Here is a 13,060-nt window from a genome sequence, read left to right on the forward strand (position 1 = left end):
AAGTACCTTATCATTTCAGACTGTAGCTATCATGTCATTTATTGTGTATTTTCAAAGAATCCGTATGGTGTGGTTAAAAGCATGAGCCATAAAGTCATAACAGGTGTTTTTGAACCCTGTTTAAAGTCATAAGACCTTGGGCTTGTGACCTAATCTTTCCGTGCATCAGTATTCTCTTCTGCAAAGTAAGAGAAATCATAGAAGCTATTGTATAGTCTTGTCATAAAGATTTACTGAGTTAATACATGTAAAGCACTTTAGAGTAGCACGGGCACATTGCAAGTGCCCAATAAGAATTAGTTCTTACTTTATACTCTGCTGAAGTTTTATATAAATGTTAACAGGAGAAAGGTTACTACCTTTCTACAGGAAGGTAATGCAGGGCTATAAAGAAGAGGGAGGGCTGGGTGCCGTGGCTCATGCCTGTAATCCCAGCACTTTGGGAGGCCAAGGCGAGTGGATCACTAGGTCAGAAGATCGAGACCATCCTGGCCAACATGGTGAAACCCTTTCTCTACTAAAAATACAAAAATTAGCTGGGTATGGTGGCACACACCTGTAATCCCAGCTACTTGGGAGGCTGTGGCAGGAGAATCGCTTGAACCCAGGAGGCAGAGGTTGCAGTGAGCTAAGATCACGCCACTGCACTCCAGCCTGGTAACAGAGCAAGTTCTATCTCAAAAAAAAAAAAAAAAAAAAAAAAAAAAGAAGAGGGAGGGCGGGAACATATCCAGAAATGTGTTTGTAATCCTACTCTCTAGGACAGATACTTCTCTAGGGAGAAAGCTATCCCTGTCATGAGGTGTGAGGACAAGGTGCAGAACTCCCCTATCTGCCACTCCATTTGCTGGGTAAGGAAGAAAGCGCCTCTCTTGGTGGTGAAGATGCCTATATCCTGCAGTCTTTTTTAAAAGCATGGTCAAGCTGTTTTAAAAGCATAGTCAAAACTCTATCATAGAATTGTATTTCATGTCAAATGAGTCATATTTCCTGTTAAGAATATTTGTGAGTATCTTGGTATTTTGCACTATACAATCAGATTGATTTTTTTTAGGTATATATGAATTTTTACAAGGTATAGTGATGATATTGAGTAGTTTTAACAGAGGATTTAAATATTACTGATATCTTAAAAACATTTGTTTTGATAATGGAGGCATATATATTCTTTTAATAGACCTTAGAACTTTTACTTTTTTGGAAAGCAAAGACATGAACATTTAACTTGGTATAATGTAATAATGTTAGCCAGGAAAAATATTCTTTTAAAAAAGTTAAAAAAAATGTTTTGTAGAGACAGAGTCTCACTGTGTTGCCCAGGTTTGTCTCAAATTCCTGGCCTCGAATGATCCTCGTGCCTCTGCCTCTCTAAGTGCTGGGATTATAGGTATGAACCATCATGCCTGGCCGAGGAAAAATAATTATTCTTAACAGTAAAACACAGTGAGGCTAATGATGATAGAAGACATGTTATCAAAGGAAAACACTGACTTATGAGGAAAAATGATTAATCAGTTATTGGGACACATGACTTATGAAGGTCACTGTGGCAGTGGAATAAGCCTTTTGGGATAAGCACATTTATTTAATCTGTGTCACTCTTTCTCACTTCTCATAGGTCTTTGAGAGCCACCTTAATGCAAAATACATGGGGGTTAGGTTATATTTTTCCAGTAGAAAACAAAATGTAACAATCATTCTTTCTTCCCTCATTGTCAAAATTCTTCCTGTTTAAGGATCTCAGAATCCTGTAGTTAGCTATGATGATGTATTGACTTTATCAGAAATGTGTAACGTGAAATGTGTAAAGGGAAGCAATCTATTTTTAAAAATAAGAGTCTTCATTATGTGGCAACTTTCCAATTATTTTTATAGTCATACAGCTATAAATATATGATTGATATATCTAAAACAAATTGAAATAAAATTATAATTCTTTTACTTTTATTAAACTATCTATATCTGTATTTTGACTGTAAGTCACCTCAATGCCATTGTTTAAGATGGCCAGAATCTACATTTTTTTTTTTGTTTGGTAGAGATTTCATTTTCCGACAGGAAGCCACATCTGATTTTCTTCCATGGTCTAATAATGAGTGTAAAACTAGAAGATGGTGCTTTTGTGTTGGTGAACACATCGAGGTGGTGGGAGGGTGGTGCACCCAGAGAAGGTATGGATGCTTTGTGCACTACCACTTCCTGTACCTTGCCCTATGCATCCCATCTAGGCAGCTGTCCCTGAGTTGTATATCTTTTATGATAAACCAGAAAACTGGATATGACGTGAGATGGTGACACAGTAATAATCTCATCACTTCTGATCATCTGAAGAATGCCCATTGTGGAAGTATCAGACAAAAGCTGAAAAAGTGCACTGAAAGATTAGTTTGTGCACTGGGCTCATCTTGGTTCACCCGGTCAGTACTACTGGGAGGTGGTTGGGAACATGCAAAGAATGGCATCTGGACATTTGCAAAAAAAACAAAAAAACAAAAAAAAAAACAAGAAAGGTTACAACTGTTCATAGAACTTGGAATTTGGACTGTCAGTAAGAGAAACAGAAGCTACGTCTCCACCAAAACAATGCCTGAGACTGCCTTCTGCATGGAACTCCAAATACACAAGAGAGTTTTCCTGGATATAGACATTAGAAACATATCATTTTTCAACATTAGCAATGGTGCCGTGGTGTGATCTCGGCTCCCTGCAACCTCCACCTTCTGGGCTTAAGCGATCCACCTCAGCCTCCCGAGTAGCTGGGACTGCAGGCATGCACCACCACACTCAGCTAATTTTTAAATGTTCTTTTGTAGAGATGGGTTTCATTATATTGCCCAGGCTGGTCTTGAACTCCTGGGCTCAAGCAATCCTCCTGCCTTGGCCTCCCAAAGTGCTGCGATTACAGGCGTAAGCTACCAGGCCTGGCCTTCCCACATCTTTGTATTCACTAAAATTTCTGCTTCAGAACCACTGAGCCCATTCTTTTTGGCTTCAAATCCAAATAATGGTGATTAGGGCACTCTGAGTATACATACTGTGATGCAACTAGGTTCAGTAATCCTTCCAGTATATGCTGGGGAAGATCATCAAACTGTAACCACACACCCACCCACCCACCCAGACACACACACACACACACAAAGAATATTTGGAAAAGATCTATTTACTTAAAGAAATATTCACTATGTTGACTCATTAAAAATGCTAAGGGTTAAAATGTATGGAACCTCTTAAAATCATAAGCACACATTTTAATAGTCTAATATTAATTAGGAAAGATACTACATGTTTAATATTGTATGTTGATAGAAAAGTTTGCTTTGGGGTCTGGGATTTGACTTCTGTATTTGTACCTCTTGAAATTTCAGATCACATCATAGCATTTTAGTTTGTTCTAAACACTAGCTAGTGCATTACAAAGGTTTTTAACTCATGAAGAGTATTTTATGTCCAAGAATTGCATGAGTCATTAAAATGAAAGTCTTTACAATACTTAATCTACTATAAGCCAGTAAATAAATTTAAGGTGCAGGAGTGAGAAATTAATATATGGCTATAAGATTTTCTCAAAGAAATCTGAAAGACTAGAAATTTCAATATAGTTTTTCTGCTGGTTACAGTCTGCCCTTAATATCTCAATTTCTGCCTAAAAATTGATTTCAGGTTACACATTCTTATTTCACAAATTTGCTAGAAGAATATGATTTAACAATAGATGTTAATATCTTTTGGTAATAAAAGTGTTTGTAAATGTTTGGCCTTCTTGTTATTAGTAATATAGTAATCCCCCATCCCCACAGTTTCGCTTTCCTCAGTTTCAGTTACCTGTGGTCAACAATGGTCTGAAAATATTAAATGGAAAATTCCAGAAAAATGAATTGGTAAATTTTAAATTGCACGCTGTTCTGGGTAGCCCGACTGGTAGGTGAATCATCCCTTTGCCCAGTATATCTGTCTATACTCTCTGCCTGTCACTTAGTAGCCTTCCCAGTTATCAGATCCACTGTCACAGTGCTTGTGTTCAAGGAATCTTATTTTACTTACTAATGGCTCCAAGTGCAAGCATAATGATGCTAGCAATTCGAATATGCCAAGGAGAAGCCATAAAGTGCTTTCCTTAAATGAAAAGGTGAAGTTCTCAACTTAATTAAAAAAAATCATATGCTGAGGTTGCTAAGATCTACAGTAAAAATGAATCTTCCATCCACGAAATTGTTATAATTGTTCTAATTTATTATTGTTGTTAACCTCTTACTGTACCTAACTTAAACCCTGAACCTTATCAAAGGTATGTATATATAGGAAAAAACATTATATATAGATGGTTTGGTTACTATCCTCACTTTCAGGCATTTACTGGGAGTCTTGGAATGTATCCTTCCTGGATAAGAGGGGAAATACTCTACAACATTTTTGCTTTTTTTTGGGAGGGTCTTGCTCTGTCACCCAAGCTGGAGTGCAGTGGTGTGATCACAGCTCACTGCAGTCTCAACCTCCTGGGCTCAAACGATCCTCCTGCCTAAGCCTCTTGAGTAGCTGGGACCATAGGTGTGCACTACCACACCTTTCTAATGTTTTTGATTGTTAGTAGTCTTTGCATTTTTAAGTTATATGTTTGTTATTGAGTGTTACAGAATATTGTGACGTTAACGTACTATAAAGATGGGAGGATATCCAAATTTTGTCACATGCTTGGTGAGAAAAATCAAAGAACATATTGCTTGGTGTTACCCTCGTCTTTCAGAGGGGGTCTATACATTATTACACATTTAATTATACATTTATTATAATTATACATTTCAATATCAAAAGTCAAGTTACATTGGTACATACAAGTAATCTTTACCACATTAATTGTAAATTGACTTATTTATTTACTTAGAGACAGTGTCTTCCTCTGTTGTCCAGGCTGGAGTGCAGCTGATGCTATCATGGCTCACTGCAGCCTCGACTTCCTTGGCTCCAGTGATCCACGCACCTCAGCTTCCCAAGTAGCAGGGACCACAGGCCTGCGCCACCCCACCAAGCCCAGCTAATTTTTGTATTTTTGATAGAGATGGAAGGTCTCACCATATTGCCCAGGTTGGTCTTGAACTCCTGAGTTCAAGCAATCCACCCACCTCGGCTTCCCAAAGTGCTGGGATTATAGGTGCAAGCCACTTTGACTGGTCAAACTTTTGTTTGTTTTTAAGAGACACCCAGCCTGGAGTGCACCAGTGCCATCATAGCGCACTGCAGCCTTGAACTCCTTGGTTCAAGCGATCCTCCTGCCTCAGCCTCCTGAGTAGCTGGGATTACAGGTGCACCACCACCATACCTGGCTAATTTTTAATTTTTTTTTTTTTTTTTTTTAAAGAGATGAGGTCTTGTTATGTTGACCATGCTGGTTTTGAACTCCTGGCCTCAAGTGATCCTCGTAAACTAACTTTGAAACTTATTATAGCAGGCTTGTTGTGATCAGGTGAAGTTATATCAGGCCCAAACTTTGTATGTTTGTCTGACTCCAGTTTTGAATTGCATGAAATGACTTAATCTTTCCATTATTCTGCTTAAAAAACAATTCAAATTTAGGAATGAGACTCCACAATGAAGCCCCACAGCAACGAAAGTGGTCAGCTTGTTTCTAAATGGAAATCCCCAACTGCCACACCACATCAATCATCTGACATATAATCTCACTTCCACTAAGCTGGAATCTACTTTAAACGTCAGGTCTCTGGATGAAGAATTTTAGTTTAGTGGGTTATGTAGCAGAAATGCCTAAATCCAGAGCACTATTTTAGTGTTGGCAGAAATAGCTTCTCTTCAAATAGCAGGGAAGAAAGAACAAGGATTTTAAGTTCAAAGTTTTTGTCTAAGCACATTTTCTAATGTTTCTACCCGTTATCTCATTAAAAAGAATAAAGAAATAGGGGTGGGGATAGAACCACATTCATCTACTTTCATAGAAGGTGCATACTGGAGTCCTGCAGATACAATTTATTTGATCTATATTTTAAAAATTAGGGAAATGCCACATTAGAAAACAGTTCCAGGTTTTTGGTTCTCTTAAGAAACTGGAACCTCTGGGCACAGTGTGTGTGCCTATCTTCTTTTGTGGAAAAGTAGGCTGGAGCTGAGAATTGGCTGCTCTCTTTACACAGGCTCTACAGTTTGCCATTCCCTACCACTCCTGAATGTTTTACACCCATATTTATTTTGTTGCTTCACCCTGCAGTCGGGAGACTCCTGCAGTTTATGAAATTGATACAACAGGGCTTTTTTTTTTTTTTTTTTTTTTGGTAGGGGGTGCAAATCTCTTTGATTTGAGGGGAACGCAGTGGTCGCTTTTGCTTCCAAACAGCCTTAAATCTGCCCGTTTTTCAACGATCTGACCTTACTTTTTCAGGGTGGCCAAAAGCACAAAATTATGAATCAAAGAATGGTCCCCAATTACCACGAGCCAGCTGTGTGACCTTGGGCGACTCCGTTAAGTTCTTTTAGCCAAGAGTGATGAATGGTCTGCAAAACGACCTTAATACCTGTTCTGAATACCCCCACATGGCTGTGGTACAGCAGGCGTGAGATGTTTAAAGTACTCCTAAGTAATTTATAAACTGCAAAACGCTTCCCAGCACAAGCGTCCGCTACAGAGCGCGACGACACCGAGCCGGTTTAGAAGTCCAGTTACTGGAATCCACTCCAGTTCCGTCCTGCTCCCACCTCCTACGCTCAGGGTGGGCGAGCGGAAGGAGACTCTCAAGGGAGAAGGCCTGGAAAACTGGCTAAGAAACGAAGCGAGAAGTTCCTCAGCAGGGGTAAAGTTGTTGGCGGCATTTTTAAGCCCCTAGAGTGGCACAGCGACTCCCGGTCGAGATGACGGACCCCGGTGCGTGACCAGCGCGGGAGCCAGTCCCGGGCCACCTCCCTGCTTGAAGTCGGGCCTGGCCAGTACCCTCCCGGCGCAACCCCGGACCCGGGACCCCCGACTTTGCCCTAGTCCCCAACCCCCACAATCACCTCCCTTGGTCCCCCTCCACGTGACAAGAGCCGGAACCGTCACTTCCGGCGGCGCGGGCAGCGCGCCTGCGCGGGTCGCCCGGCCTCAGTGAGCGGTTGGCAGCAGCGCCCCCCCCCCCCCCCCGCCAACGGCCACGAGTGGCGGGCGGCGCGGGTTCGGCCGGGGCGGCGGCGGCGCGACGGGCTGCGGTCCTGCGGGTTTGTGGCCTGAGACGTCTAGCCCACTCCCTGGAGGGGCCGGCCGCCCAGCCTCTTTCGCTCTCTTCCTCTACCCCGGCTCGCGCTCCAGGCGCTTAGTGAGGCGGCGGGACGCCCGGGGCACTGGCGGAGGCGGCGGCGTCGCCCCTGGATTCGGACCCGCCCCCTCGCGCCCCGCCCCGTCCCCGCCCTCCCCACCGCCCTCTGCGGGAGCCGGGCAGCTGCAGCGGAGCCGCGGAGCGGGCGGCGGGGCCCAGGCTGTGCGCTTGGGGAGCGCGGAATGTGAGGCTTGGCGGGCCGCAGCACGCTCGGACGGGCCAGGGGCGGCGACCCCTCGCGGACGCCCGGCTGCGCGCCGGGCCGGGGACTTGCCCTTGCACGCTCCCTGCGCCCTCCAGCTCGCCGGCGGGACCATGAAGAAGTTCTCTCGGATGCCCAAGTCGGAGGGCGGCAGCGGCGGCGGAGCGGCGGGTGGCGGGGCTGGCGGGGCCGGGGCCGGGGCCGGCTGCGGCTCCGGCGGCTCGTCCGTGGGGGTCCGGGTGTTCGCGGTCGGCCGCCACCAGGTCACCCTGGAAGAGTCGCTGGCCGAAGGTACGGGCGCCCGGGGAGGCTCGGACAGGCAGGTGAGGGAGGGTTGGGGTGTGGCGGCGGCTTCTCCGGGTCCTCGCCCTCCGGACTGACTCTTATACCCCATTCTTCCTCTGCTGCCGGGCCAGCGGGGGCTCCTAAAGAGTGGCTCGGGCTTTCTCTCTTAAGCTGGCTTTTCTTGCCGCTGGCTGCCCCGGCCGGTGCACAGTTCTCTCATGCCTAGTTTAAATCATTTTCTGTGCTTTTTGACGCGAGAAAATAGGTAGTAGACGGGCTAGGAAGTGGGTTGGTGTTACGATTGGGCCAGTGACTCATTAGAGGGTCAGATCGAACAGGGTTGAAGCTCCGTTCTGCCAGCTGTGGCTCAGACGGGTGTCATGCGTTGGCCTTTTCATCTAAGCCTCCACCCGCGCTGCAGGGCATAGGACCCTGCAGCCCCTGGTGTCAAGCTGGGCTTTGCTGCAGCTCAGTCATCTGTTGAAAAACAATGTATTTGTGTGCATGTGTGCGTGTTGGAGGTGATCCTTTGCTCTAAATTCAGTTAGTAGGTTGCACTGAGGAGCAGGTAAACTTGGAGCCCATTTATCTTTGTTATTTAGAATCTTCTCTGTTGGACAAGGTGCTATTCATGCCCTCCCAGTATGTCTCTTTGATAGTAGTTTAAAAGGTGATATAAAAGCAGGTTAACTTTCACTTAACGAGGTTTTGTGGTCGGTCCTTCATGATCTGGAACAGGTTATGACGGCAGGTAGAAGTCTACTTACAAAAAAAGTTTACTCCATTTTAAAAGAAGAACTTAGAATTTAGTTTTGTATTTCTGGCATAATTGCCTTGTAGAAAATACTTGCCCTGTGTGCTGCATGCTTCATTGGCCTTTGAGTTTTTAGTTGCAAAATGATACTACAAAATAAACACTTTAAAAGAAATACTTTTTGTTGATAAATGGCCCTTTTAAGTTCTATGGTTAAGATAAAAAAAATCGAAGAGTGGATTCAGTTCTCCGAGCGTTAGACGTTGATGTGGTTTGAAAACAGTAGACTGAGATTCCGCTTGTATTTTTTGAAATGCTATACACAACAGTAAATTAGCACAAGGGAAAAAACCTGAAGATTTTTGTATAAAATATTTGAAAGAGAAAGAAATCGTGAATTATTCAAGTGTACATATCATTGTTTCGTGAACCATTGCTCAGAATAATGATCTTAGCCGAAACTTGGAGAGGTGGGAGAAGGAGGATCCTTAGTTTTTCAGAAGAATGAATATGTGGTGAGTGGTCTTTATAAAAGATTTACTATACTATAAAGTTTTCTAGCTCTTTATTACACATGAATTTCAATTATTGGTTTAGATTGTGTTGTAGGTTTTAAAAGCACATGGCTCTTCACTCAAATGCCATATTCTGTCTTTGAATTGTTTTAGTAACTAATTGAAATGTAGCTTGAGTAGTGTTACACTCACTCATTCCACTAAATCCCAGATGGGTCTTTTATTTAATAGAAAAAAAATACTGACATTTCACAAATTAGATTTTGAATTTGTAACTTGTATTACTCACTACCCTAAGCATATCTTATCACTACCCTAAGCAAGCCATTTTCAATAAAAAAATAATTTTGGAAAGTAATAAAGATGAATTTCAAAAGGAGAGTTCGTTCAACCACAACGAAGAATAAAAGTTTATTTCAAGCGCTAATGTCACTGTTAGAGTGTTCCACTGACTTTTGCCATAAATGTATCATTTCTCTTGAAAAGTCAATAATCAAATGCTAGGAGGAAGCAAGGACTGAAGAAATCCTTTTAGAAGATGAAACTTCTCCATCCTACACCCCAGCTTTAATTTCCTAGAAGGGAGGCCAAGGCCTAGGTTTTCTTTCCTTGTGTATTTTTTCTGTCTCCATCACCCACACAACTGGAATTGTCTATGTATAATCAGTTTAATTTTGATCCTGGCCGGTCTTATTTCAGATGCTTAATATCCCCTCTCCCTTCCTAATAAATAGTGCCACAATTTAGACAAGATGTTTAAGCACAAGTCTAGTTCGCATTTAAGCGTGATTAATCAATAATTGATGGGTCTGCCTGATCATAAGATTGGGTCATGTACTTGTGAAAATGCATTCAAGTTTAGAGTACTTGATTTGGGGAGAGGGATACCACTGAGTAGGCAAAGCGGTAGAAGCTAAGATAGACCAAAGCACAGACTTGGTAGATTTTGCATTTTTTGTTTTGGCCCAAAGTTGTTTAAACAGAGCCAGGAAGACTCAGTAGATACTGTGCCCTGAAGTGTTTTTGCCATGCTCCTGCAAACATTGGTAGTTTACTCATAATGACCTCTGCAGTGTCTTTTTAATAAATCCGTCCGTCTCTCTGTTGTTATTTTTATATAATTAGTTATGTTGCAAAAAGTCACCGTGAAAACTGGATTAGCAAACACTGAACCACTGCTCCTACTATGGTGTTAGATTCCTGAAAGCTGCTGTTCACAACATTTTTGTCAACTGATCAAGATACAACCTTGTTTTATGTCTGTTGCAGTTTAAATACACCTTATTTAATATATTTGGTTGATTTATTAACATTGAAATCATGGCCAACAGCTCTGTAAATCATGCCTCAATGAAGATTATCTCACACTTGTATTTTCTCTGTAGTCTTTGCTCCTTGAACACTAGACAGCACTTTAGCACTACGCTTAGGGACTGTTTTCAACAGTGAAATCACCAATAGCAAGCACAAAAATGAGAAAAACATGGCACTAAATAGACCATGAAAAGGACACTTGTTTACACTATGTAAGCTGAAACTAGAATGTGCACGTCAGTAGACTCACATTTTTCACCATTGTGCACATGTCTGCAATGACAGTGGAAGTGCTATGAGTAATGATTTTGGGGATACAAATAAATGTTAGTGAGTAGATGAATTTGTAAATATAGTATCCTCAACTAATGAGGAGCAACCTTTGTTATAGGTAGATATGTATATGCACATATTATGTCTATAATTTGAAAAGCAGATTCTCAGGGGTAGGTTGTATGTTATAACTAAACTGTTAAAGTTTTCTCTCTGAAACATTATATACTTTGTATCATAATGTCTTTGTAGTCAAGCACATAAGTGTTTGAAAATAGAACTTGCACCTTTTTAGTTCCTCCTCAAAGTTTAAAGGACTGATAACATAGTGAGGCAGTTCATGTTTTTTTTCTCAAAAACATGTTTAGGAGTCTGTACTAAGCAGATCCCAGCTTTGGTCTGTAGAAATGAGGGAGAGCGGTATGTTGGTTTTAGCTTCAAACAGTGACAAATTGTCAGGCTCATATAATTAATTCAATGTAACCTTCCAAGTTTTTACTAAAACCTGGGGTTGGCTTGTTGACCACATGCATCACCATAACAAGCCTTTGGTGCTAGTCTGAGGAATTTAATACTGATTGATAATAAGTTGGTTTTTGAGTAGGGGACATTGTTTTCCCTAAATGTCCTTGGTACAAAATGGACCTAAAATGGGGTGTTGAGACTGGGAGAGCAGAGATAACTTGTTGAGATAATGTAATCACGAGGTTATGGGGGCTGGGTAGGAATGATAGTGTGAATATGGTGATGTGGGTAAGATTTACTGAGATGGGTGTTGGGGGTTATTGGATTGTTAGTAATTGGAGGCCAGGAATTTACTACAGGGTTCTTTAAAAATAGCTCAGTATTTCTCTTAGAGTTAAATGCTTAGATAAGCTAAGTATTAGCCAGTTCTCGTTGTTAATTTTTCAGGAAGGTTGTACTATACATCTGATTTTGCACTATAAATTAGTAGGGAAATGATAGATTTAAGCATTATATCTCATTTGCAGAAAGCATCTGTGGCTGCCCAGTAACTTGTAAGTTCACATTCCGAAGAGAAGATAGAGAGGATAGAAAAAAGGGAAGGATCGAATAAAAATATCAACAACTGTTACTACTACACAACTTCATTAAATGCCTTTGGTGTGCTAAGCACTGCTAGGTGCTACTTAACATAGTAGAGGACAATAGTGGAGGTATTCTTCTGGCCTATGAAACTTACAGATTAGTGTGGAAGGTAAAAGCTAAACAAGCCAACAAAAATCACCAAGTTACTATAGTTAAAATTTTTTATATGTGTCGTGAAGACAATGCTCAGGGTTTTATGAGAGAATTCAGTTTAGACTGGGGGGTCAAGGAAGGCCTTTTTGATCTTTTAGCAGAAACCTGAAGGATGAAGAAAGTTAGGTAAAAACAGAGGTGTGAGGTTGGGGTGATTTGAAGTATGTCATGAAGACTGAAGTCTCTGTGTGAGGGAAGGAAGTTTCAGAAACTGAAATATGCTCAGAGCTGTGGACTACAATGAATGAATCACATGTAAGAGAGATCCAAGATGATGTTGGCAAGGTGACCAGGGTCCGGGGCTTAGTATACCATGCTGAGGAGTTTAGGTTTTATCTGAAATGCAACAGGAAGCTATTGAAGGGTTTGAATTGGGGCAGTGACATGCTCTGATTTGTATTTTTACAAGATCATGCTGATTGCTGTATAGAGAGGTATACAAATTATAAGGTTAAAATGATGACAGTGGGGATGAAGATGATAATGCTTAAATGGGAAGACCTTGTGGTGGTCATAGGAAGTGTTAGGAATTACTTGCTTATGTATCTCTCAGGTGAAAGTACCGTTTGGGAACATAAGGAAGGAACAGATTTTTTTTTTTTTTTTTGAGGTGTTTGGAGGACAGCCAGTAGTTCAGACATGTTTAGAGATGTGTTTGGATGAGATATCTGAGAGGAAATATCAAATGGGAAGCTGGGTATGTCGTCTGGAACTCAGCAAAGGTGTTTGGGCTTAGAGATGGTACTTCTGATTGATTAGTGAGCCCTGGCTGTTATTTAAAGCCCTGGGAGAGGATGGATGTAGGGAGAGTGTAGAATGAGAAGGTGCTCATTGAAGGACTCCTATAGTGCATTGGTCTCAGACATTAGTGTTCATTGTAAACATTCAGAGGATTTGGTAAAACAGAAGTGCTGAGCCTGGTCCCCAACTTTTGATTATGTCTGAGTGAGGCCCACTCTTTCAGTGATACAGATGCTGCCGGTTCAGGAACCACGTCTTGAGTACCGAGTACCACTGATTTCGAGCGGGCGAAGAAGACTAAGAAGAAGGTGCTAGAGAGGTATGAGGAATACCAGGACACTCTGATACCTGGAAACTTGAGAGTATTTCAAGAAGGGGAGGGAGTGAGCAGTTGTGTTGCTGCAAAGTCATCTTACTT

General features: G+C 41.9%; 1 protein-coding gene and 1 long non-coding RNA gene across 7 annotated transcripts in view, besides 6 other annotated features; one reads left to right on the top strand and one right to left on the bottom strand.

The window, feature by feature from the left end:
• BMP2K-DT (BMP2K divergent transcript) lies at positions 4,722 to 7,037 on the bottom strand. The gene has a single exon (NR_186689.1). It is a non-coding gene; the product is annotated as a BMP2K divergent transcript (long non-coding RNA).
• Positions 6,653 to 7,283: an enhancer, noted in NCBI's record as "NANOG-H3K27ac-H3K4me1 hESC enhancer chr4:79696740-79697370 (GRCh37/hg19 assembly coordinates)". NCBI's record gives its function as "activates a minimal SCP1, AML or CMV promoter by ChIP-STARR-seq in primed H9 embryonic stem cells {active_cell/tissue: H9 hESC(primed)}" and the evidence as "EXISTENCE:reporter gene assay evidence [ECO:0000049][PMID:30033119]".
• Positions 6,653 to 7,759: a biological region, named in NCBI's record as "NANOG-H3K27ac-H3K4me1 hESC enhancer GRCh37_chr4:79696740-79697370".
• Positions 6,750 to 6,999: a silencer, noted in NCBI's record as "silent region_15512". NCBI's record gives its function as "represses an Ori minimal core promoter by ATAC-STARR-seq in GM12878 lymphoblastoid cells {active_cell/tissue: GM12878}" and the evidence as "EXISTENCE:reporter gene assay evidence [ECO:0000049][PMID:35858748]".
• Positions 7,090 to 7,759: a silencer, noted in NCBI's record as "silent region_15513". NCBI's record gives its function as "represses an Ori minimal core promoter by ATAC-STARR-seq in GM12878 lymphoblastoid cells {active_cell/tissue: GM12878}" and the evidence as "EXISTENCE:reporter gene assay evidence [ECO:0000049][PMID:35858748]".
• BMP2K (BMP2 inducible kinase) overlaps positions 7,417 to 13,060 on the top strand; it is a 140,016-nt gene continuing 134,372 nt past the window's right edge. For 4 of the 6 annotated variants that reach the window (NM_198892.2, NM_001419799.1, NM_001419800.1 and 1 more), the window contains exon 1: positions 7,417 to 7,788. In NM_198892.2, coding sequence (NP_942595.1) covers positions 7,611 to 7,788 — 178 coding nt within the window. In that variant the 5' untranslated portion in view covers positions 7,417 to 7,610. Of the gene's footprint in view, positions 7,789 to 8,151; positions 12,962 to 13,060 lie in introns of those variants that run through there. The other 2 variants (XM_047415932.1, XM_017008381.2) reach the window with 2 other exon arrangements.
• Positions 7,916 to 8,546: an enhancer, noted in NCBI's record as "H3K27ac hESC enhancer chr4:79698003-79698633 (GRCh37/hg19 assembly coordinates)". NCBI's record gives its function as "activates a minimal SCP1, AML or CMV promoter by ChIP-STARR-seq in naive H9 embryonic stem cells {active_cell/tissue: H9 hESC(naive)}" and the evidence as "EXISTENCE:reporter gene assay evidence [ECO:0000049][PMID:30033119]".
• Positions 8,121 to 8,321: a silencer, noted in NCBI's record as "fragment chr4:79698208-79698408 (GRCh37/hg19 assembly coordinates)". NCBI's record gives its function as "represses an EF-1alpha promoter that drives an FKBP-Casp9 reporter gene in an ReSE screen in HepG2 liver carcinoma cells {active_cell/tissue: HepG2}" and the evidence as "EXISTENCE:reporter gene assay evidence [ECO:0000049][PMID:32094911]".

This window comes from Homo sapiens, chromosome 4, assembly GCF_000001405.40.
Source record: "Homo sapiens chromosome 4, GRCh38.p14 Primary Assembly".
Lineage (NCBI taxonomy): Eukaryota > Metazoa > Chordata > Mammalia > Primates > Hominidae > Homo > Homo sapiens.